The 25,384-nt window shown below is 41.6% G+C and overlaps 1 protein-coding gene across 5 annotated transcripts in view; it reads left to right on the top strand.

Annotated features, from left to right (window-relative positions):
• Window positions 1-25,384, top strand: part of ROR1 (receptor tyrosine kinase like orphan receptor 1) — a 407,482-nt gene that overhangs the window by 346,550 nt on the left and 35,548 nt on the right. For 4 of the 5 annotated variants that reach the window (NM_005012.4, XM_011541526.2, XM_017001377.2 and 1 more), the window contains 3 exons: window positions 16,803-16,930; window positions 19,543-19,860; window positions 21,839-22,084. In NM_005012.4, the coding sequence (NP_005003.2) occupies window positions 16,803-16,930; window positions 19,543-19,860; window positions 21,839-22,084 (692 nt within the window). Of the gene's footprint in view, window positions 1-16,802; window positions 16,931-19,542; window positions 19,861-21,838; window positions 22,820-25,384 lie in introns of those variants that run through there. The other variant, NM_001083592.2, reaches the window with a different exon arrangement.

The raw sequence follows: 25,384 nt of genomic DNA on the forward strand, positions 1-25,384 counted from the left end.
TCTCAGTTTGAGCCCACCACATTCAAATGCTCAAAAGCAGGCACGTGTGGCTAGTTGCTACCATACTGGACCATGTAGGTCTAATGGTAACAATGGCACTGCAGCCTCCTTGACCCAGCAACACTCACTCTCCTCCACCCCACTTCATTTTCCTGCATACACTTAACACCTGCCAGACTATATATTTCCTTTATTTGTTTATAGTCTACCTCCCAGTATTATTTAGGGTTCAGTCTAAGTTGGTGTAATAAATGGATGGATGGGTGGATGGATGGATGGAGAATGGCTTAATCAAGGTAGAAATGGATTTCCCTCCAGTCTAGAGGAGGCTCTCCATAGCTGGAAGGGTATCTCTGTTCCCAGTGTTCACATTAACATCCAGCCTCAGTCTATCTTATCCCTCTGCCAGCCTCAACCTGTAGTGTTTACCTTGTTCTGGATGACTTCTTCAGCATTTCTCTTCATGGCCACACTCCAGTCAGGGAGATACCCCTTTTTTTTTTTTTTTTTTTTTTTTTTTTTTTTTTTTTTTGCTCAGCCCTATCTTCTTTCTTTTCTTCTTTCCCTTCCCTTCCTTCCTGTCTCCTCTCTTTCTTTCCCTGTCCCTCCCTTCCTTCCTTTCTTCCTTCCTCCCTCCCTCCTCCTCCCCTGCTTTCCTCCTTTCCTCCTTCCTTCCTTCCTTCCTTCCTTCCATCCTCCTGTTTCTTTATTTTGGTAAGGACCTGACCCAGAGGTGGTACACCTTGATCAGAAGGTAAACACCTCCTTGATCAGAACATAGTCACATGACCATATCTAGCTGTGGTCTCCAGCTGGTGGTCAGTTAATGTAAGGAGTTCTACTATTAAAATTGGGAGAGAAGAGCAGATCTTGATGGACAACTAGAAGTCTCCACCACTGTCCCTCCCCCGGAATGTAAACTGCCATGAGGGCAGGGATTTTGGGATGTTTTGTTCAATGTAGTAGACCCAGCAGTGGTGTACCAAGGGCTGGGCAGTGGGAATATGCACCCTGGCGGGGAAGAGTATTTTAAACAACATTGTTTGAATTGCCGGTGCATAACGGTAATAAAAGTGGACTAACATAATTGGTCTCATTATTGTTTTTATATTATCCACAGAGTCTGCATCCAATATTGGCTGCACCAGAGCAGACTGCTCTGTTGCCCAGCCCTTGGTACACCACTGAGCCCTGGCACCTAAAATAGTGGCTACTCATAGCAAGCACTCAGTATCTGCAGAATGAACCAATAGATCTACCTCTGCCTCTTTTCCTTCCATTTCTTCCTGACTTCTACCCTTGGAGAGGCAGCCCTCACCAGGTAGTAGACCTTATGGCATTTCATTATGGTTAGCTACTTCTTCCTCTTTAAACTGTGAGCTCTTTGAGCACCAGAACCTGCACCAGCTGCCACAACCTGGCCACCAACCAGGTGCTCAATTAGTGCTAGTTGAAGGAACCAGTAAAATTCATTGAAGGCTGCTCCCCTTAGCCTCACTTAGCCTGCATTTAGTTGACTCCAAGCAGGAATTTTCTATCTGATTCTCTTTGTTTTGTCTGAACCCGAGATGTTGAGGCTGGAAATACAGTCAAGATCCAATTTGTGAGCTAGCTTATGAGTCAGGTTAAGGAATTTACACTGTATCCTAAAAACAGTAGGAGTCATCAATGCAATTTAACCAGGTGGAACTTTCATTAAAATGTAACTATGTGATGTGAGGATGGGGAAGAAGGAACTAATTGGCCCTTTCTCTTCAGACCTCTTGACTTCAGCTTTCTGGGGACTGGCATTTCCACTGTTCTTCCATCATTTCTGAGGGTATCATTGGTTTACCCTCTCAATCCAAATGTTCCTCTGTGGTTCCCCATTTTGATGTTTAATCTTTGAGGCATCCACTTATGTATTCATCGATCCTTCAGCAGTCATGTACTGGAAACCCTTAGGATGCATGCTCTGTAAGACAGGGCGTTCTGCCTTGTCCACTGCTGTGGCCCCAAGAGTGGGAGGAGTGGGCTGTCAGTAGGCCACCAATAAATATCTGTGTTCTGGCTGACCCCCATATGCTAGGATACTGGAGATGAGGAACTGGAGAAGGTGCTTAAAGAGCACATCTGTCTGGTAGAGGACACAGAGCTGTCCTTCAAGCATTTGAACGATGTTCTCATTTCCCTGGAATCTTCTCCTCTCCAGGCTCACATCTCTAGCTCCTTCAATGATTCCTCTTGCGACATCATTTTAGTTCTCTTCCCCAACCTAGTCTTTTTGCTTTTAATGAATGATCACTGATGTATAGCCCTGATGACATCTGGTGTCCACAGTGGTGCCTGATGCTCCGGGTGAAGTTGAAGTTTGACCAGTAAGAGGGAAGAAAGAATGGCTCCTCCCTCATTTCAGAGAATACATCCTAGTCACAAGTGCCCCTAATGTCACTCAGGTTTTTGATAGCTACATTCCCTCACTGATCCAGTAGAATACACTACCAACTGATGCACCATCTTGATTAACAACAGCAAGCCTCCCCTTCCTTCCTCAGTATCTCTCCTCACATGGTCTCCCATCCAGATTTGCTTTAAGCCTGCCACTCTGGAAGGGACACCAGAGATCATTTAAATAAAACACATTATAGAACTGGTTAATAGGCTACCTCTATGTCTCTGCAAATATTCCAAGCATAGTTTGGTGAGTATAATCAAAGACCAAAACAATGTTTGATCCTCATGGAGGGACACTATGTCTTGTTATACTATTGTAAGTTCCCGGGGTTTTATTCATTTTGGCATTTAGTGGATTTGTCTTTGACATGTTGGATTTAAGGACATCATTATTCTTGGAATTTAGAAAAGAACACTGTGCCTGGCATGACATGAAGCCAACTTAGAAAACCCAAATTTGAATCCCATTTTTGCCACTTAACTAGCTGTGTGATCTTGGGAAAGTTGGTTAATCTCATAAAACCTCAGTGTTTTCATCTAATAAAGAATACTAATATAAACATAGAATGGACAGAAAAAGTGCTAAAAATGTACAAACAGTTCATGTAATAACTAGTACAAAAGTTTTACAAAGGTGAACATATGAAAAAGATGTTTAACTTTACTAAGGATAAAAAACGAGGTATGATCTTAAAGTGATTTTACCTAGCAGGTACTTTAACAGGCACTTGTAGGCATTGAGTGCAGAAAAATAGATACTCTTCCCCATTGATGGTAGAAATATAAGTCATAACAGTTTTCTTAAAAGATATTTATAAATTCATGTAAAAACCCTGAAAATGTGCATACCTTTTACCCCAAAATAATTCCACTTATTGTTTTGAGCCTAGAAAAATAATCATAGCAGTATATAAGGATCTATCTACAAGGATGTTTATCTCAACATTTTTATAAATAATGATAAGTTGAATATAATGGTAACTGTGTAATTGTGGTCACTAAAAGTAATATTTTAGAAGAATACTTCATAATGTGGAAAATACATATTACATTAAAAAGAAAAAACTATGTCTAGTATAATTCCAATTTGCAAAAATAATTTGTGTGTTTATATGTATGTGTACAGAATATATGCTACATATTAACCTTAATTATCTGTGGTTTGTGGATGTAGATGATTTTAATTCCCTTCTTTGTGCTTCTATTCTTCAAAATTACCACAACAAGTATTATTTTTAAAAGGGTGGAATGAGAATGCCCTGGGGTATCTTATAAGAATGTGATGAAAGTCTAAATTTAAATTATAAATTAAATCATGCACATTTATTGTATTATTGTTAGATATTAGACTGATCTCAAGCTTTGCCTTTCTTTTTCTCCCTTCTTCCCTTTCTCCTTCCCTCTCTGTCTCCATCTGCCCCTTTTTCTTTTCTTCACTGTCTATTCTCTCCTTTCCTTCTAGGCCCGGTTTTTTCCTGCTCCTTCCATGGGGAGCATTGCTCAGCTGCCCCTAGGATTCAGAGTCAAATAGTTTGCTGACCCTGGTCTGAAGCTCATTTGACCAAACTGAGCAAGAAGTGCACAAGTTTCTTGCATTTCCTTCCAGACCTCTAGTAGCCCTGACACACATCCTGGACTAATCAAGACTATGTGAAACGTACGTCCATCAGTTCAGAGTTGAGCTCTTGTCATATAGGAGCAAATTACCAACTTCTCAAAAACTGCCAGGGGTGGGAAGGGGTTCTTTCCTTCTGCATCCCAAGTGCTGGATGCCTCTGCCTTCCAACACTACTCGAAAATAGCTTTGTCAAACAAAGCATGAACACTAGGAGTTTCTGACATTTTCATAACTATGAGCATATGATTTGCAGTTCATATTGAATAACGATGTAAGAAATCTGCCAAGAAAGCTCCAAATACTATTTCCAGCACTGGTTCATAACCAGTTACAGCTGCCTCACCACAGAATGTGAGCACAATAGACTACCATGTTCCATGGTCTCTTGCTTGCAAAGTTTGTATTGAGTTACTAGGAGTCATTCTAATGGGGGAAGTCACTCTCCTGGAAAGCATTTAAGATGAATAAAGTGAAGGGTTTAATGTTCTAATGAAAAAATTTGTCAATATATTAATCAAATGTGTGAACACTAAACGTTTTTACGTATGTTTGCTGTAGAGGTTTTAAGGCGGGCTTTGGCTTTCCAGACTCAAATAAAGTAGATAGATGCACTGTTAAACTTTCGAACAATGACAAAGAAAAACATGGGGTAATTGCTTCACTCAAAGCCTGCCAGGAGATTAATTGCCTAAGAGATGTATTTTGTGCAGTATCCAAAAACTGCAGAATCTACAGGAGTGTCTTGCTTTCACTAGGAGAAAACGTATGTCACCTCTCACCAAAGATGTTTATGTCTTTTCACAAACCTGTCTTTTTGCAGTCTAAAAACATTCCAACTGGAAATGACTACAAAGCTGGGAGTTGATAGGTTAGGGGTGTTTAGTAAAGCTTCAAATACTCTCATGGAGTCAGATACGATTCCGTACTACGAGCCCCACATAACAGCAACCTGGGCCCAGGGATTGTGAAGCCTTTTCATTTCTGGTTAATCAGTGGGAGAGGTGGGGAGCCATGAGCCTGCCTTGGACCCGCCAGCCCCGAAACTAAAAGACTAAAGTTGCAGGGCTTATGGGGAGTTCGCCTAGTGCACTTAAGAAATAGGGATGGAACTTGCCTTGTTCCACCTTTGGGATTGTATTCAAATGAGGGCTTGCTAAAGGCTGAAGGTGTTGGAATCTGTAGGAGGTCTGTGTAGCCATAGCAGAGAAACATAGAGTGCGCTTTTATAAACATTTATTTGGTGCCTTCTACAAACCAAGTTATATGTACTAGACTCTGCTGGGAGTGAGACTGGGGTTGCATTACTACTACATGGAAAAGTAAGAACAGTTGCTGTATTTCTGGAACATTCTGCCTGGTAGAGGAACAGACTTCTCAACAAATAATAATTATACAGTGAAGGATGCTAGAGAGAACATATTTTCTCATGAACTAATCTGAAAGTTTCAGGAAAGCATCTTAAAGGAGATAAGACTGAACCGAAACTGGAAGGATGAGGGACAGAGAGCCAGGTGAAGAAAAATGAGAATGGATTTCCTGGAAGGGAAATAGCCAAGGCACAAACATCAGTGCCAGTGTGATATGTTCAGAAACTATAAGCTGTTCTTTAATACCAGGACCTGAGAACCAAGAGGGGCAATGCAGGAGACTGGGCTGAAGATGTCCATGGGGCAGTTATATAGGGACCTTGTGATTGCTGTTAATGTGCTAGGACTGTTGCCAGTGGACTTTATACAATAGAGAGTCACTGAACATTTGTGAGAAAGAGATAATGCAATCTACCTATTAGCTCATCATTCTATGGCAACAGGAAAGATCAATTTACAGGCCAAGAATGGAGGTAGAGAGACCAGTTAGGAGACTCCTGCAGCCATCTTGGTGGGATATTTTGAGAGCTTACACTAGAGTAACCATAAAAGGTTAGAATTGGAAAGAACATATTATACAGTTCAACTTCCATATTATACAAATGGAGTAAGTGAGGACAAAGAAGGTAAGTGACCTATCCAAGGTTGTATGGAAATAACCTTGTTGGCAGCCAAAGTGGGACCAAGACCCTGGTCTTCTCATTTCCAGTCCGGTGACTTTTCCACTCAGCAATGCCAAGTTCAGTCCCAGCATCATGCTTCAGTTAGGGAATGCCCTAGAGAAACTTGAAATGTACTTGGCTGGCATTTTTCCTGGCCATATCTAGGAAGTGAGAACAGTCCTTGTTGGATGGAGGGACCTTGAATCCAGCCAGGCTGCCTGGGAGGGATCTTTTTCTGTTCATTATCTTTCTGGCTTTAGGTACCTCCCACATCTTCCACCCTCTTCTTCTCCTCTAAAAATCCTTCTTCAGCCATTGCTTACAAATTCTCTCCCTTCTGCTGAGTCTAGGCAGTGTAGAACAAAACCTAGCACCTTTTTTCAAGTTTGTTTCCTCAATATTTTAACCTAACTATTGTATCACTGTTAAGCACTTGGGCAATTTTGAGGATGAATAATCCAATAAAATCGAACTGTTTCCATCTAAACTCCTTCCACACTTTACATGGCGGTGTTATTTGTGCAAATACTGTTTTGTGTTGTCTCTTTTTCACTAAATCATATATGTACACATTTCAAAGCTCTTGGCTTTATTATATATTTCTTATAATGGACACTGCAAGAAATTTGGAGCAAGACCTAAGCTTTTGGGAAAGAGACTTAATCTCTGGACCTAATTCTTCAACTATAAAATGGAGATAATGCTACCTACCTTGAGGGGTTCCTGGTACAAGGTAGGCGTATAGTAAGCTTTCATCTCTCTCTCTTTCTCTGTCTCTCTCTGTCTCTCTCCTCTTTCTCTTTCCTCTGTGTGTGTCTGTCTCTTTCTCTGTCTCCTCTCTCTGTCTCTCTCTCTCTCTGTCTCTCTCTCTCTCTGTCTCTCTCTCCTCTTTCTCTCTTTGTCTTTCCGCTGTGTGTGTCTGTCTCTTTCTCTGTCTCCTCTCTCTTGGTTGCTTCTGGTTTGGGGCAATGTAGTATTTTCATAAACATGTATGATCACAAATTATATCCATGCTGAAATTCAAAGGTAATTTTTTTGATGTCTACCTCGAGGCCTAGAATACTGTTGAGCATAGAATAAAATCTCAATAGGGCATAATGGTAGGAAGAAGAAATGAAGAGGAGAAAAAGAATAAACCATCTTAACTTGAAAACCAAATTAGCTGAGATGCTCGTGAGCTTCCAATCTCATACAGGCATTCTAATAACAAGTATTCACTTACTGTGGACCCAAGAACGGCCAGATGGCTTGTGAAGAACATCAGCCTCAGCAATCACACAGATTTCCACCTTAGATGGCCTTTTGCAGCCTTTGGAGGATGGATTGGAAGAGTGGAAGGTTGGAGGCAGGGCTCTCAGTGAGGGGCAGCTGACAGGTGGTGGGACCTGAGCCATGAGGGAAGAAAGTGGTCAAATTCAAGAATTCCTTTGGAAGCAAATTTAGTTTTCAAGGTTGCTACTCTTAGAAGCTGCCCCTCTTCCTCTTCTCATTATTTCTTCCATTTAGCAAAACTAAATGCATGGGGAGGCCAGGTATGGTGGCTCATGCCTGTAATCTCAGCACTTAGGGAGATCAAGGTGGGAGGATTGCTTGAGTCCAGGAGTTCAAGACCAGCCTGGGCAACATAGCAAGACCCTGTCTCTACAAAAAAAAAAAAAAAAAAAGTAAAAAAACTAGCCAAGCATGGTGGCACAAGCCTGTAGTTACAGCTACTCAGGAGGCTAAGGCAGGAGAATCACTTAAGCCTGGAAGTTTGAGGCTGCAGTGAGCTGTGGTCTCACCACCGCACTCCAGCCTAGGTGACAGAGTGAGATCCTGTCTCAAAAAATAAAGAAAAATGCATGGAGAGGTTGGGTGGCTGGGGTGGGGAAGTAGAGAGATTGACTACACATTTCAGATTGCTAGAGGATGCCACCACACAGAAATTAAAATAAAAAGTGGGAGAGATTTAATTCACTTATTGAACGTTTATTTATTAAGTATCAACAACTTGACACTGAATAGGCACTATTCTGGCCATTAGGGACATAGTAGTGACCAAAGCAAAGTTCCTAGTCCCATGAAGTTTGTTTATAAACAATAAACAATTGAATATATCAATACAGAGTATGCCTGATGAGACTAAATATTAACACAAGAGGTAATAATCAAGTAAGTGTCGGGGGGAAGTGGCAGGGCATGAGGTCAGAGAGGCAAGGTGAGGCAGGAGAAGATGATGTAAGGATATTGTAAAGATGCCAGTTTTACTTAGCATGACAAGGGAAGCCTTTAGGAAGATTGAAACAGAGGAGGAACAGGACAAATCTGTGCATTACAAATTAATCATTATTTTAATGTGAATTGCTGCTTCTGCCATTATAAAAATTTGTAAGATTCTACCTGTGACATGGGCATCTCTGTATTGCCTTTGGGTGGGTGCTGGAGTTGAGGGTACAGAGAGGCATTAAACTCACCATTGCTTTTTACGGAGGCCAGTAGTCTTTTTTTAACCACCATCAGCAGAAGGAATGGGAAACAAAGCTGAGATGAGACAGAAAAGCAAGAATTGGGGATTGGGTTTCACCCCACTTCTGAGTAGTAAGATGAAATTAAAACCCTTCTAAGATGTCCCTGAATTCCATTTACCACTCTTTCCACAAACCTTCTCTTTTTCAATCCATGCCCAAAGGCATAAAAGGAAAGAAAAAAAAAATCAAAGCAATTCCAGTAACACTTGTGGTAGAAAATCTGCCTAGATTGGTATGTGTGAATTTCATATTATTCTAAAGTCCCATTATTCTTAATAGGCAATTTTAGGGGGTGGTTTGAATGCCTGATATTTGGAGAACTTTCAAAGCACATCCAAGGGGTCTCTAATAAGAACTTGGGGGCGCTGAACTCGGGGACTCCAAGTGTCACCTATGCATTTCCAGCTTCAGCCTAACCTTGGGGGCAAAGCAGGCCCTTAACAGAGGAAAAGTAAAAACAACCAAAGCATTCTTAGAGGTGCAAGGCCGCCCTATCATGAAAACCTCAGTAAATTGAAGACAGTAAAAAATCACTCATTCTTTTGATTAGCAGTCTTCTGTATTCTTGCAAATACTGTACTAGTGCAGTCCTATCATTTCAAATGTGTGTTTAAATAGGAATAAAATATATTACACACATAATTTTCCCTCAAATTACGTTTGTGAGATACAAGCCTGGGTAATTCTGCTCCTGTTCCAAGTGAAATGCAAACCCTTGTGTTTCCAAACATCACTATGAAGCAAAGCCAATACCTTCCCTTTTCTGAGTTGGACACAAGTAACTCTTCCGTGCTGCTCTGGAAACTATGACAGAACGTTATTCATCTGTTTGTTTTAATAGCCAAGGGAAAAAAACTTCAAAATTTTGATTTAATTTTTTAAAGAAAAAAAGGTGGTATGAAACAGGTCGAGGGACTCTTTAGCTAAGCGAATAAATGTTAACCAAATTGTCACTGACCAGATGTGGGAACCAGCATGTGATATTCGACACAGTCACCTCAAAATTGCTTATGCTTACAAAGGCATTCCAATAAAAGAAAAAGGGATGTAAGGGTTAGCTGAATTCTCAACCCTATAGATTTAAGGCTTCTCTGTGAGTCGTTGGCCCTCTGGGTTGACATGCCTTGATTGGCTCCCTTTCAAAACTGACCTTAAAGGTCAAGTATGTTAACATGTACTTTTTGATGCTCACTTTCAGACCGGTCTTTAGAAAGCAGAGTTTGTGAGATAACTTCAGGATCACATATTTAACCTGTAATCTCTTGACCACAGCCAGCCTGAGGTGAAGTCTGCTTTTGGTGCTCCCGACAGCTCCCCTTCCTGGATCCTCACCCTCCCCAGCCATCCCTTTCCTTGTCTCTGCCTATACCTGTCCAGAGATGCTCCCTCTCCCAGGGCCATCATTTCAAGGTGTGTGCAGCTAGGGCTGATAAGATTTAAGTGATGCCCCCTCCTCCTGGTTAGCAGTTAACTAAGGTTGCTTCCAGGCTTGAAGTCTCCTCCAGAAGAGGAAGGAGGTAGGTTGGAATAGGAGGTAACTTTTCAGACCACCTCCAATTATAATCTGTTCTTAAAGTTTCTATGTCTCTGATCTTCTGTCTACATTGGAATAATTCTGCATCTTTTACTTGGATCCTTAATTTTATAATGTAGCCCCATTTTTATTAAAAGCCAGGGCTAATTTTACCTTGAGAGATCTGTTTGCCCCTCCCAAGGGAGAAGAACGCTGCCTCTGAAGTGGGAAGCTTCACACTCAGCTCGAGGTTACTAGAGCCATTATGTGGCCATGCTTTTAACCAGATCTGCTAATAGGTGGCCCGATTCACAAGTTTTAAAAAGGGATGTTTTCCATTTATTCATGGCCATGATGGTCTTTTGGGAAAGCATTAGTAAGTTGTGTTTGCTTGGGTAAAGAGAAATTGCTATCCATATGACAGAAAATAACTCCCACTTTAATAAACTGCTCACTGAGCAAACCTATGGACCGTCCATCTCTTTGAGCTGTGTGATGACTTTCCTTCAAGGGTTTTAGGGGCAGCCATCTTGATGTGATTTCCTCTCCATGGCTCAAAACAGGGTGTATGAAAGGGGCTGGGGGGATAAATTCAGAGGTCAGAGGTGTTGGGCTATTTATTTCACTGCTCTCTGTCCCTATGAGGCTGCCATGCTGTGGGATTGCCAAGTCACTGTCCCCGGCATTCCATTTGAAGAGCCATGAGAATCAGAACAAAAGAACCTGCTGATACTGAGTAAACTGCTCATGCTTATATCAGTTTAGTCTGCTTGGAAGTGACTTACAAAGCTACCCCCACGACCTCCCCCACCTTGAGGCCTGAATTTGCAACCATTGGCCCTCTCCCAAGGTCCCTCTACCTTGGCCCTTGTGTAAATGATATTTTTTTTTTAATTAAGGTGGAATTCACATAACATAGAGTTCACCATTTTATTTTATTATTTATTTTGTTATCGTTATGTTTTAAAGAGATGGTCTTGCTCTGTCACCCAGGCTGGAGTGCAGTGATGTGATCATGGCTAACTACAGCCTCAAACTCCTGGACTCAAGCAATCCTCCTGCCTCAGCCCCCTGAATAGATAGGACTACATGTGTGTGCCACCATGCCCTGCTAATTTTTTCATTTTTAATTTTGTAGACACAGAGTCTCACTATGTTGTCCGGGCTGGTCTTGAACTCCAGGCCTCAAGCAATCCTCCCAACCTTGATCTCCTAAAGTGCGGGGATTATAGGCATGAGCCACTGCACCCAGCCAGAATTAACCATATTAAAATGAATAAGTCAATAGTAGTTAGTATATTCATAATGTTGTATAACCGCCACATCTGTCTACTTCCAAAACATTTTCATCATCCCAAAATAAAATTCCTTGCCCGCTAAGCAGTTACTTCTTATTCCTCCCTGTCCCCAGCCCCTAGCAACCACCGATCTGCTTTTCTCTAAAGACTTACCTATTTTAAATATTTCATATAAATGGGATCATACAATATGTGCCCTTTTTGTTCAGCTTATTTCACTTAGCATGTTTTTGAGGCTCTCCCACATCGTAACCTGTTTCAGTACCTCATTCATTTTTCATGGCTGAATAATATAGTCTATTGTATGTATCTACCACCTTTTGTCTATCCATTCATCTGTTGATGAACACCTGAGTTGTTCCCACCTTTGGACTATTGTGAATAGTGCTGCTCTGCACATTTGTGTACAAGTGTGTGTTTGAGTACCTGTTTTCAATTCTTTGGTTTAAGTGAGATTTTACAGTCAGGAAAGTCCCTCTGCATCCATTCTCTTCTCATTAAGAAGAGGTAGGAGACCCGGCGTGGTGGCTCACACCTGTAATCCTAGCACTTTGGGAAGCCAAGGCAGGTGGATCATCTGAGGTCAGGAGTTCAAGACCAGCCTGGCCAACATGGTGAAACCCTGTCTCTACTAAAAATACAAAAATTAGCCAGGCATGGTAGCACACGCCTCTAATCCCAGCTACTCAGGAGGCTGAGGAAGGAGAATCGCTTGAACCCAGGAGGTGGAGGTTTCAGTGAGCTGAGATCGCGCCACTGCACTCCAGCCTGCGCAATGGGAGCGAGACTCCATCTCAAAAAAAAAAAAAAAAAAAAAAAAGAGAGAGAGATAGGCATTTTAACTGAAATTATCCCCAAAAAGAATATTTTAGGACCAAATTTGTCAGTACCGATCGGTTCAGCTATGTCTGCCCATGCCCTGTATATTCTGATGAGGAAGAAAATCGCTTCCAATTAGAGGATACTCCTGGTATGGAGAAGGGTCCACTTTGGTGGGCTACCCTGGGATAGTCTCCTCATCTCTTCTAGTTCTATTGGCCTGTCAGTGGTAAGGTGGGCGCTAAACAGATAAAATAGTATATGAAACTGGAAATCTGTGGAATGGTTTGATGAAAGTACTGGGAATGGGTGGGGTTAGTGAGTGACTAACTTTCCAGGGAAGGTAGGGGCATTTGGGTCTGAAAGATGAGAACATTCACAAGGAGAACGAGGGGGTGGAGGGCATGCCAGCCCTAAGGATGAGCATGGGTCAAGCCATGTCCGCATCGAAGTGCATCCTGTGGTTTGAGACTAGCAAGATCATCCACATGACTAATACCATCAGGCTTGTAGGCTTGTCTGGCAGGGAAGGAAGCTGGAAAAACTGGCAAGAACTAGATTATGAAGTCTCTGCAGAACAGCATTTCCTTTCCTTGCTCTGCAGTGGTTCCTAGATGGGCACTCCTTTTGCTGCCGCACTGTTCCACGATCCCTCTTAGCACTCTTCAAATATCCTTCATAAGCTCCTTGCCCTGGAGAAGGAGGAGACCCTGGAGGTGGATTACAGACCACATTTGCGTTTCCCAATCCCATGGCAGAGAATATGGCAGGTTGTAGAGGCTGGCAACATGGTAACTCAATTACCTTTATGAGAAACATGAGCTCCCATCACAAAGCACCCCTGCACCTTGACATCATGGTGAGGCAGCGGCGCACGCTGGTGCCAGCCACTGTGATGAATGGCCAAATTCCATTTGCCCTTTCACAATGCACTTTTCTTCTCCATTGAATGCAGCCTTGGGCACGCTCACTGCAAGTGCCCTTGCACTTTTGCTACCTTGCCACTTGCTTCATGTTTTTAATTTGCTGAGCATGGAGTAAGGCAGGAAGACATCAATGATGAAAGAAGTGTGAGCTGGAAAAAAGCATAAAGCTGATTAATGCTGGAGGAGCATTTGTTCCCCTCCAGCCAAAGCCAGTGGGGAAAAATGGAAAAGAAAGAAATGTGTTTTTGACTTTATGTTTAAAAGAAAACCTTTTACCACCCAGAATGCACCAAAGCTTCTCCACAGCAGAAAGCCCCTCTAAGCAGTGCAAAAACTCCATTGCCAAGCCACTTGGAAAGAAGTTATAGAGTGTGGTTAGAAACACTATTTAGAGCAAATCTAGCTCTTCTACTTGCTGCGTAACTTTGGATAAGTTCTCTATGCTTTCTGAGTCTCACTTTTCTCATCTGTAGAACAGGAATAATTACATCTTTACCTTTTTTTATAAGATTGTTGTTGGGATAAAATGACTTAGTATCTGTTTTGTAAGTATATAAAACTTAGCAGTATCTGATACAGAATCAAGACTCGTTATAAGGTCTCTTTCTCGAGTAGGCTGATTTAACTAAGAGTAGTATTGAAACGCAGAACATAGTTACAGATCTAACAACATGGGATAGTGGCCTCATCTTGAGTTTCAGTTTAAATCCTAGCTCCACCACAGACTGACTTTGTGAATTTGAGCAAGTTACTTAACTTCTCTGAATTTGAGTTTCTCTCTCGTAAAATAAGGATAATAGCTCATCAGGGGCTGCTTTGAAGAAAGCACCTAACACAGTACCCAGCCCAGAGCAGCAGACACTTAATACATGTTTGGTTTTTTTCAGTGTTGTGGTTCTCAACCACATTCAAATCACCTGATAGGTTTCTTTAAGCATAGATACCTAAGCCTCATCCCCAGAGACTATGATTTAATAGGTCTAAGGTGGGGCCTGGGCATTCGTATTTCCTAAAGCTTCTCAAGGAGATTCTTTCATTCTTTTTTTTTTTTTTTTTTGAGATGGAGTCTCACTCTGTCACCCAGGCTGGAGTGAAGTGGCATGATCTTGGCTCACTGCAACCTCCACCTCCTGGGTTCAAGTGATTCTCCTACCTCAGCCCCCTGACTAGCTGGGATTACAGGCACCTGCCACCACACCCAACTAATTTTTGTATTTTTAGTAGAGATGGGGTTTCACCATGTTGACTAGGCTGGTCTTGAACTCCTGACCTCAGATGATCCACCCGTCTCGGCCTCCCAGTGTGCTGCCAAGGCGATTCTCATAAGGAGCCAAGACAGAACCACTCCCCAGCAGATAACAGTACATACTGGTTTTGGGGTTTTTTTGTGTTCTTTTTTAAAAAATCTGTCTCCCAGGAGACTGAACAGGATAGTAGGAATTCTGGGAATAGTCAAAAATTTAATACACCTGCAGTTCTAAGCCTTTGATAAGAAATGTGCAGCCAAGGAATTGCATTCCATTTTATTCTGAAAAAAAGTATTCAAAGAGTCTTTTTAAGAGTCTTGAACTGGAAAGGTGGTAAGAAGTTTAGCCTAAGCCTCACACATAAAATATGGGAACTCCCAGTAGGTTGGGGATTTATATCTGGGGGTAATTCCAGGGTTTTGTCCTCCCAAGAGATATAAATTGAAGCCTTGAGAGTTTAATGTGGGGGAGAAAGAAGTGTTCTCATAATGACACCTTAAAAATCCAGGGCTCTGCTAATGCCTAGGGATAGAAAAGCATCATCTGTAATAGCAGGGGGGTGGCATGGGGGTGTATTCTGGTCTCTGTACTTAGGTTTCCAAGATCCAAGTGTGGGTCATCAAGAACCTTCTTTCTCCCCATAGGTTTATGGTATTAGTTACCCAATAAAAGTTGGGTTAATTTTACAACCCAAGTAAAATTTAAGCCAAAAAGGCTTCAGCATTACTCTAGGATTTATGAAAGTAAACATGTGGAGTGCTTGCAGGATTGTGCAACAGTAAAATTTCAATGTCTTTATGTCAGGTATATGATATATTCATTTGTATGTGTATTTAAAGGTTAAGTTTTTAAGAGCTTTGCAACACAAACTATTTTCAGTACTAAACTGAAGATACTTCCCCCACTTTCACCTTTAAAATGATTCTTTTAATGAATGGGAGTAGAGAGAAGCAGAAAATTAGTGTCCTATCAGGTGATTTTTCCACTTGGTTTGCTCCTATACTTTGACTTTCTAGACTCCTACGCTAGACCTTCAAGCTGGGAAGTGAGCACCACAGCACTAACCGCAGTGCCTCTTACGATGTGGGAGCTTAGTAAATAACTGTCTTTTAAATAAATGTCCCTTTGGTCATTGTAAATACTTTAAGAATAGCCATATATTATCTCTACAATTTAAAAAAGCTTTTACATTATCTGATGGGATCATAATGACTTTCCCATGTAGGGCAGAGAAGTCAGTTACTGTGTCCAACTTGTAGATGAGAAAATTGTGGCTCAGAGGGCTCAGACAGCTTGCCTAAGGATGCCCAAATGTTAAACTCAGGAAGAGAATTTTGTTCTCCTGACTTTGCTCTGAGGGATTTTTACTTAGAAGAAACCAAAGGGGAAAAACGGTGTATTTTTTTTTTTTTTTTTGAGATGATATATTGAGGAGGAGCATCCAGGGTTGAAGTCAACTTATACACGTGGCAGGCAGACTTTGGTTTGGCTATGGTCTGCCTTTGAGAAACAGCTGGATGTTCTGCACTCGAGGGATCTTGTGCTCATCGTAGGCCCTCGTGGGAGATGGTAGCCTCTGCCCTTTCAGGTTGAGCCTGCCATCTTGGGTCTTCATCTCCAGCCTTAGATCTCCAGTCCTTTTACCTGGCACATGAATCATGTCATTTCTGGTGTCCCTCTGTCTTCAAGATGAAATCTATTACCCCTCCTTATAAAAAAAGTCTTATAATTTTGAGGCCGCAAAATTTTAATAAGACTATTTTTTTAAATTGTAGAGAAGCATGAAAGCAAACTTTCCATGGACATTTTCTCTAGATTTCCTTGGATTTAGTGACTCAATTCAAACTCTCCAGACTATGGTTTGCCCTGGTCCTCTTTGGGCAGGGTAGAGATAATGGAGGTTCAGCAGTGAAGAGTCACCTAACTGGGCTACCCTCGGGTTTCTTTCCAGCTGCACCCAGCTTCTCACCCCATGGATCCCCCTAATTGACGTGTCAGTTGGAGTGGATCTGTTCGCCCACGCCTTTGTAGCAAATGAAGCAGAAATAATCTGTGCTTAAAAAACAAAAAACTGTAGAACATGTGCCCAGATTTCCAACTCATTTCCTCTTTACTCCTATAACTACATCATCTTCCAGCCCACCACCAGCTGCGAAAATAAAAGCATTTTCTCCCATATTTAAGGATGATTTTGTGCTTCAGGATGACTTTCTGGGGGTGTAGGAAACTTGACCAATGTGACCAACAGATGTTTTAAGAACTGAGCAAAAGCCCAATTCCTTAGCCCAGTCTTTTGTATATTGTGCCCAACTGTGCCCCCTAGTGACTATTTAGGGTATCGCGCAGTCAGAGCTTGCTGTGCCCTGTATGTATGTGGTGCATCAGCTAATGTCTGTCTATGCTTTCTTTCAGAGATGAGTATGAAGAAGATGGATTCTGTCAGCCATACAGAGGGATTGCATGTGCAAGATTTATTGGCAACCGCACCGTCTATATGGAGTCTTTGCACATGCAAGGGGAAATAGAAAATCAGATCACAGGTAGGTAGCACCAATGAAATTATATTTGTCCCTTGAATAACTATTTTTCTCGCCAAAAGTTTTATTGAGCTCCTCTCTTGACAAAGGATTAAGCTCAGCATGGAGGTTGGGAGCAGGACCATAAAAAAGCATGAGACATGATCTCTGTGCTCTGGAATTTACATTAAAGTAATTTATTGAAGGTTGCTCTTAGAGGAAAAGGAAGCTTTGTGAAATCTCACATTCATTCAAACACTCAATAAATATTATTAAGTGCTTTCACCGTACCAGGAACTGAATCTGAATGGGAGAGGTGATGGTGTGTAAATAAGCCAGGTACGTCTCTGCCCTCACAGAGCTTACTGTTTAGAAGCAACATGATGTCGACTGAGAGGGGATGAATTTAGAGTTTAGAGTTCTGGACACTCATCCCAGAACTATTATGACAGTGAACTTTGGGGAAATCGCTTACTTTCCCAAAAAGTCCCCTTCTTCATCTGTGAAATGAGTGATGAAGCAAGATGACCATTGGTCTCTTCTTGCTCTAGCTTTCAATATTTCACTCTTCATTTTTCTTAATTGAAAGTATCCTTTTGATAGAAATCTAATAGCGAAGCACTTACTAGCACACATGAGTTAAAGTAGCATAGGCTGCCTCATAGGATTTTGCACGCATCGTTCTGGTGGTTACAGCAGCTTTGTCCCCTTCCATTAGTGTAGTTATGATGCCTCTGTGTCACGTATCCTTTGCAATCCATTCACATTGTCTTCATGACATTCTAATGAGGTTGCCATATCTAGCAAATAAAAATTCAGGATACCCAGTAACATTTGAATTTCAGATAAACAACGAATAATTTTTTAGTATAAGTATGTCATAAATATTTATCTGAAATTAAAATGTAACCGTTGTCTTTTTCTTTATCTGGCAACCCTAGGGTCTAGGAGAGGTAAGAACAAACCCAAGGCAGAAACATAGAACAGCAAAAGGCCCAGAAGCTATGTGGAAGCTATGTGCTATGAGGAATGTGAAGGAACTGAGAGGAGGCTGGGGGGAAGAGGGAGGAGGACTTTTTTTTTTTTTTTTTGAGATGGAGTCTCGCTCTGTCACCCAGGCTGGAATGCAGTGGCGCGATCTCGGCTCACTGCAAGCTCTGCTTCCTAGGTTCATGCCATTCTCCTGCATCAGCCTCCTGGAGGACTTTTTAACCAACCAAAAGAAGCAACTGTAGGAATAGGTAGTTGCCATTTTCTGAAGCCCTCATTTCAACAGGAAGAGAATTCTGAAATTTCAAAGAGCAGTAAGACTGACAGGGAGGAGCTGTTAAACACCCATTTCAACCTAATGTAAGAATGCCTTAATGTACTTTTAACTGAATATCCACAAAAGCAAGTAGACATTTTGGGCCAGGCACAGTGGCTCACTCCTGTAATCCCAGCACTTTGGGAAGCTGAGGTGGGCAGATCACTTGAGGCCAGGAGTTCGAGACCAGCCCGGCCTACATAGCAAAACCACATCTCTACTAAAAAACAATACAAATATCAGCTGGGTGTGGTGGCACATGCCTGTAGTCCCAGCTATGTGGGAGGCTGAGGCATGAGAATCCCTTGAAACTGGAAGGCAGAAGTTGCACTGAGCTGAGAGCGTAACCCTGCACTCCAGCCTGGGCGACAGAGTGAGACTGTCTCAAAAAAAAAAAAAAAAAAAAAAAAAAAGTGGAAGTTTTGATGTAAATAATTGGTAACCTATTTATAAAAATCCTCTCTTGGAGATTTCTAATGGGTATCAGCCTGGTGGAAAGTTTTTTTTTAAATTCATTTACCTTTGTTTATCCCAGCGTTTCCCAAACTTGTTGGCTTGTTTCTCAAGCACTATTCTATTTCACATGATTAATGTTCTGAGCAACATACTTGGGGAAATAATGTATCAGCAACCTCCTAGGTTTCCTTGTGAGGTGTAAGCTCCTTGTCAATAGCGGTATTCAAAGGTAGGCTGGTGCGCTTTTTGTGCATCTTACCCTACTAGTAAGAGATTAAGCTAAGGAACCACTAATATTCGATGATACACATTGGAACAATTGTACTGTGCTCTTTGAGAACTTCCAAGTGAGTTGCCTCATTTTCAGAAGATGGAGTAGAAAGTATTCCAGCCACAAAGAAATTAAGCAAGTTACCCTAAGTCATCCAGCAACTCTTGCCGTCCAGCAAGACACAGAACTGGATCCTGTGCTCAGGCTCAGCCACTGCGGAAACAAGTTCTGTCCCTACAGCTGTCAAATGTTTTAGAAGCCTCACAAAACTAATAAAAAGCACCAGATGAAACACAAAGTTCGATTGCTTTGTAGTAAAAAATGAAAAATATATTGTACTTTAACTTAATTAATTTTTTTATTAGGAAATGGTACATATGTAATTTAATCCTGTTTTATTAACTTTGTAGTCAAAATGGTTTTTTTCAAGCCAGTGAAAGTAAGCTGCTTAGACATCTGAAATGAATCTCCTTCTCTGGGCCTTGTCTGTTTCAGCACGGCGGATTCCTTGCAATGTGTGTTTATATCTGATATCCGTTGACTAGATAACCAAAGAAGATAAACCCTGGCCTCTGGGAGTTAATAATTGTGTTTGTTTTCCAGCTGCCTTCACTATGATTGGCACTTCCAGTCACTTATCTGATAAGTGTTCTCAGTTCGCCATTCCTTCCCTGTGCCACTATGCCTTCCCGTACTGCGATGAAACTTCATCCGTCCCAAAGCCCCGTGACTTGTGTCGCGATGAATGTGAAATCCTGGAGAATGTCCTGTGTCAAACAGAGTACATTTTTGCAAGATCAAATCCCATGATTCTGATGAGGCTGAAACTGCCAAACTGTGAAGATCTCCCCCAGCCAGAGAGCCCAGAAGCTGCGAACTGTATCCGGATTGGAATTCCCATGGCAGATCCTATAAATAAAAGTAAGTGGTAGCCCCTGACCTTCTGTGCTCTTCTAAGGGTCAGCAACCTGTTGGCACAGGGAAAACTGGACCTTGACCCATAGTGATTTTCATACTGTTAATCAAATTATTTTCCAATGGGCTGAGTACTGTGCCTGAGCATTCAGTGGTGGATTAGACATAGTTATCTTCAAGAAGCTTCATGAAGACAATAATTTTAAAATATTGGAGCTGGTTTCTCAATAACTTAAACATAGAATTACTATATGACCTAGCAATTCTACTCCTGAGTATGTAATCAAAAGAACTGAAAACAGATGTTCAAACAAAAACTCATATGAGAATGTTTATAACAACACTATTTACAATAGCCAAAAGGTGGAAATGACCCAAATGCCATCAGTAGAGGAGCGGTTAAACAAATTGTGGTATATCCAGACAGTGAAACATTATTTATCCATAAAAAGGAATGAAATACAGATACGTGCTACAAACCTGGATGAACCTGGAAAACATTATACTAAGTAAAAGAAGCCAGACACCATTGTATGATCCATTTATATGAAATTTCCAGAATAGATAAATCCATATAGACAGAATTCAGATTAGCGGTTACCAGGGGCCAGGCTAGGGGTAGTGGAGAGTGATTGTTTAATAGATATGGGGTTTCCTCTTAGGGTAATATAAGTGTTCTAGAACCTATAGTGGTGAAGGTTGTACAATATTGTGAAAGAACTAAATAAATGCACTAATGGTACATGTAATGGTAAGTGTATTATAGCATGTATCAGTACATTCTCACATTGCTATAAAGAAATACCTGAGACAGGGTAATTGATAAAAAAAGGAAGTTCAATTGGCTCACGTGTGGTTCTGCAGGCTGTACAGGGAGTATAGCAGCTTCTGCAGAAGGTGAACGGAGAGCAAGCTTCTTACATGGCAGGAGCAAGAGAGTGAGTGGGGAAGTGCCACATGCTTTTAAACGGCCATGAGAATGAGAACTTACTATCCCAAGGACAGTACCACGGGGGGTTTGTGCTAAACCATTCACAAGAACCCTGCTTCCGTGATCCAGTCACCTCCCACCAGGCCCCACCTCCAACCCTGGGGATTGCAATTCAACATGAGATTTGGTGGGGACACAGACCCAAACCATATCATACCGCCATTTTAAAGATATAGATGGGTTTGCCTCCATCCCCTACCCCATCAGCAGCACCACGCAAAAGACTATTTCAGTGTACATTTCCCTTTCATCTAGAATTAATCTCACCGGCAATTTTTCAGTTTCCTTTTGATCGTTAATACTATTTTGTGAGTTAAGTAAATGAGTGCATCTAAAATGCTTAACACATGGTAAGGGCTCAGTAGCAACATTATTATTATTGTCATTACTCCTCCAAACTCCAGTTCAGTTCGACTGTGTAGATTCTGCAGTGCTTTTAAGCCCCTCTGGCCACGTGCGAGGTCTTCTTAATGGGATCTGCTTCTCAAGGGTGCCGACCCCATCAGCACAGAGATAGCCCCCACTTTTGTTAGAAACCCAGAATGCACAGCCTCTGATAAGCATGTTCTGTGAATTACAATACCAACTAGATTCCTTATTACATGATTTCATGTCTAAGGCTGTCAGTCAGAATGGAAGGAAAAGTTTGGCTTGAACCTTCCTTGAACCATTCACTAGGAAATTACTTCTGTGCCCCCAGGTCCCACCCCAGTTCCGATTTCTTCTGTGTTCAATGTTAGAAATACTTTTGGAAGACTGATTTTATTCCTGAAGCAAAAGCTTTAAATCCTCCCAGGAATGTAACTGCAAGGCAGGCCCTGGGTCCAAGCCCAGCAAAGCAGGGAGACTGTCCTGCATGGCCCCTGACCAGCAGGGAAGCTGTGGCCACGAGGTTAATTACCTGCCCTCCCCTCCAGAAACTGCTGGCTAGAGGAGAGCTCCAGCATCTCCTATGTTTCTTTCTAATTGTTTGGGTTTTTGTGTGTTTTTCAGATCACAAGTGTTATAACAGCACAGGTGTGGACTACCGGGGGACCGTCAGTGTGACCAAATCAGGGCGCCAGTGCCAGCCATGGAATTCCCAGTATCCCCACACACACACTTTCACCGCCCTTCGTTTCCCAGAGCTGAATGGAGGCCATTCCTACTGCCGCAACCCAGGGAATCAAAAGGAAGCTCCCTGGTGCTTCACCTTGGATGAAAACTTTAAGTCTGATCTGTGTGACATCCCAGCGTGCGGTAAATAGAAGTCATTGCCCCTAATGTATTCAATCATCTTTAAAGATCCCTATCCTACCCCTCTTATTTAGGAGAATCCTATAAGGGGGGCAAAGAAAATGGACAGTATTTGCTTGATCTCAATCTGGTTTTAGGGTAAACCTTGCCGTTTCTACATAAAACACCTCGTAAGGTACCAAAACACGTTCTCAAGAAGTCAACTGCCTTTATACCTGCAGCCATTGCACTCATGGATGTAACAGGGACCCAGCCCTTCAGAGGCACAGTTGAGACAGTTTATCACATTGATTTTTATAGAAAAAGATGTTACCCAGAATGGTCTGCGTCCAAGTGGACCTTTTCAGCAAAAAAAGGAATATTGGAAGCAGGAAGAAATTGTTTTCTGTATGCCTTAAGAACACCACAAGGCAGGATGAATCTACAACCATTACTCGGTCATCCAGGACAATCTGTGGGTAAACTGTGTCCTTCGTTATGTCTGTTAATACTGCAGAAGAAGCATATAGGTATCTAGTAAGAAAATGGAATTCCTGAGTCAGTTAACTGTTCCTTTTTCTAGAAAATGTTTGGAGAAAATAATGAAAATGGGCCAAGCATGGTGGCTTATACCTGTAATCCCAACACTCTAGGAAGGCCGAGGCAGGAGGATCATTTGAGCCCAGGGGTTCAAGACCAGCCCAGGCAACATAGTGAGACTCCATCTCTACCAAAAAAAAGAAAAAAAAAAAAAGAAAATGTTGGTGAAACCTGGAGTTAGGAACTATTTTGGAACTAATTCATCTTCCTGATCCTAGTTCTCATAGATATCATAGATAATGCCAAGTTTCCCAGGCATAGTGGGAGAGTCAGGATGTCACTGCTGGAAAAGCAAAAGCTACAGGGTAGGAGGGTGGGCAAACAAGAGCAATAGTCATGGGACCCACAATACAAAGTGAGCTCGGTGTTTAACCAGATGATTATTCAAGCCATTCATTCAGAATATTTGTTGAGTACCTACTAAGTGCCAAGTACTTACTCATCCGAGCATGGGGAGACGCCAGGGACCCTAAGGAGGGAGTAGGCATAGCACATCCACAAAGAAGCAAGGAGTCATGGAGGCGGAACAAGCAAAAGGGAGAGTAGCAGAAGATTAGGTCGGGAAAGTAACAGGACCCAATCATGTAAAGCTGTGTAGGCCATTGGAGGACTTAAGCTTTGACGCTGAATGAGTTGGGAAAGCATGAGAGGGTTTTGAGCAGAAGGGTGACATGACCTGACTTATATGTTTGAAGGCTCACCTGGGCTGCTGGGTTGAGACTAGCCTGTGGGAAGGATGCAAGAGCAAAAGCAAGGAGATCAGTTGGGAAGCTACTGCAGGAATGCAGGGGAGAGATAAAGTGGCCTTGACAGGAGGAGGAGTGGAAGACGGAGGGACACGTGGGCAGATTCTGGATATGTGTTGAAATTGGAGACAAGAGGAGTCACTGATGGATCAGATGTGGGATATAAATGATGGAAGGAATCAAGAGTGACTCCGGAGCTTCTCCATGGAATTGCCTTTTGCTGAGACGGAGAAAACTATAGGAGGAATAAATTTAGTGGGAGCTGGAATCAAGAGTTTTTGTTCATGCTGAGTTTGAGATGCCTTTTAGAAATCCAAAAAGAGATACTGAGGAGGCAGTTTTATATCACAGACTGAAGTTCAAGTCAGGGTCTGGGATGAGATGGATACGAAGGAAATGTTGGCATACAGATGGCATGTAAGGCCATGACACCTGAAGGAAAGAGGAGCATATCTACTTAACAAAAGAGAAGGAAATGTCAGTGCAAGACAATGAAAGCTAGCTTTAGACTCTGGGTCAGGGGCAGTAGCCTCAGTTCCTAATGTAATAATGATCTAACTGAGTGGCTACCATGTGCCAGATCCTATGTGAGACACCTTACCTCTGTCACCTCATTCAATCTTCATATCCAGCTTCTATCATCCTCATGTTATGGATAAGAAAACTGACACTCAGTAAGAATTAAGAGGTTTGCTCAAAGACACTCAGCTATCAGTGACTGAATCATGATTTTAACTCAGGTCAGCCGGATTCCCAAACCTGTTGGCTCTTTCCACTAAGCATACTCTCTCTCTAGAGAGCAAAATGAATCTGCTTAATGGCAACAATAACAGGTAAACAATAAATATATAGTTTGTAGTAAAAGCAGTTTATTGTAATAGGTAAGGACATGGGTTCTCATGTTTAAGTGCCTGGGTTTGAATCCCAGGTCTTCAATGAAATAGCTGTGTGCTCTTAGCCCCTTCTAATCTCATTTTTCTTATCAGTAAAATGAGAAAATAATGATATACACTTAGGATTTATTGTGAGAATAAATTAGTTGTTAACTGAAAAACCCTATGATGTCCGAACATAGTAAATGTTCAGTACACATTATCTATTATTATATAGTCAATATATAAAGATAAATCGATTCGAATTATCACATAGTCAACATATGTAAATAAATGCTTGCTCTCAGCTCAGCAAATATTGTTTGAGAGCCCACCATGGAGTAGGGAGGTTATAAGAGGAATAAAATGATTCATGCTTTTGAGGTATGTCAGTTACAATGCAGTATGTATGATACAATAGAAGTTAGCACAAATGTTATGGAACAAAGAAGGGGAAGGGCTTAAAAAATTACTAAAGAAATCCATAAGAAAAAGTTTTAAAAATATTGAAAAGAACCCTAGTGATGAAAATTTGAGAGACCCTTATTCTATAATTTTGTTCCTACCTGTTACTTGTTATTATAGTGACTTTACTTGCAAAATGGTTTTACGGAAAGTTGAACACAACAAATTTTAGAAAGATCACCACACCCCCTTTGTGTTGCCGGGTTTCATACACCTTCATATGGGCTTTAATATACTTTCATACGTATTACAAAGTAACCTCTTGCAGAGCCATTGTTGATCATTTCAAGGAAAATTATTCTGTATTTTGTAATGGTTTGCACTTCATTTATGACATTTTCCGTGTTATTTTCAACAGTGATAAGAAAGGAATAAAAACAAAACATAGATTTACTTAGTTGCCCCATTCCTTCTCCTAAACCAGGTAAGGTATGAGAGTCTGCAAGAGAGTCCAGGATAAAAGCAGTACTTACTAAGCACCTTCCACGCACCAGGCACAGTGCTAGGGTTTTCACATGCTTTCTTTATCCTCATCCTCATACTCTGACAGGTATTATTAACCCTATTTTTGCTGATACAGAAGCTGAGGCTGAGAAAGCCCCAGGGTCATCCAGCTAGTAAATGGAAGGTCTGTCTGATTC

Source organism: Homo sapiens, chromosome 1 (assembly GCF_000001405.40).
Source record: "Homo sapiens chromosome 1, GRCh38.p14 Primary Assembly".
NCBI lineage: Eukaryota > Metazoa > Chordata > Mammalia > Primates > Hominidae > Homo > Homo sapiens.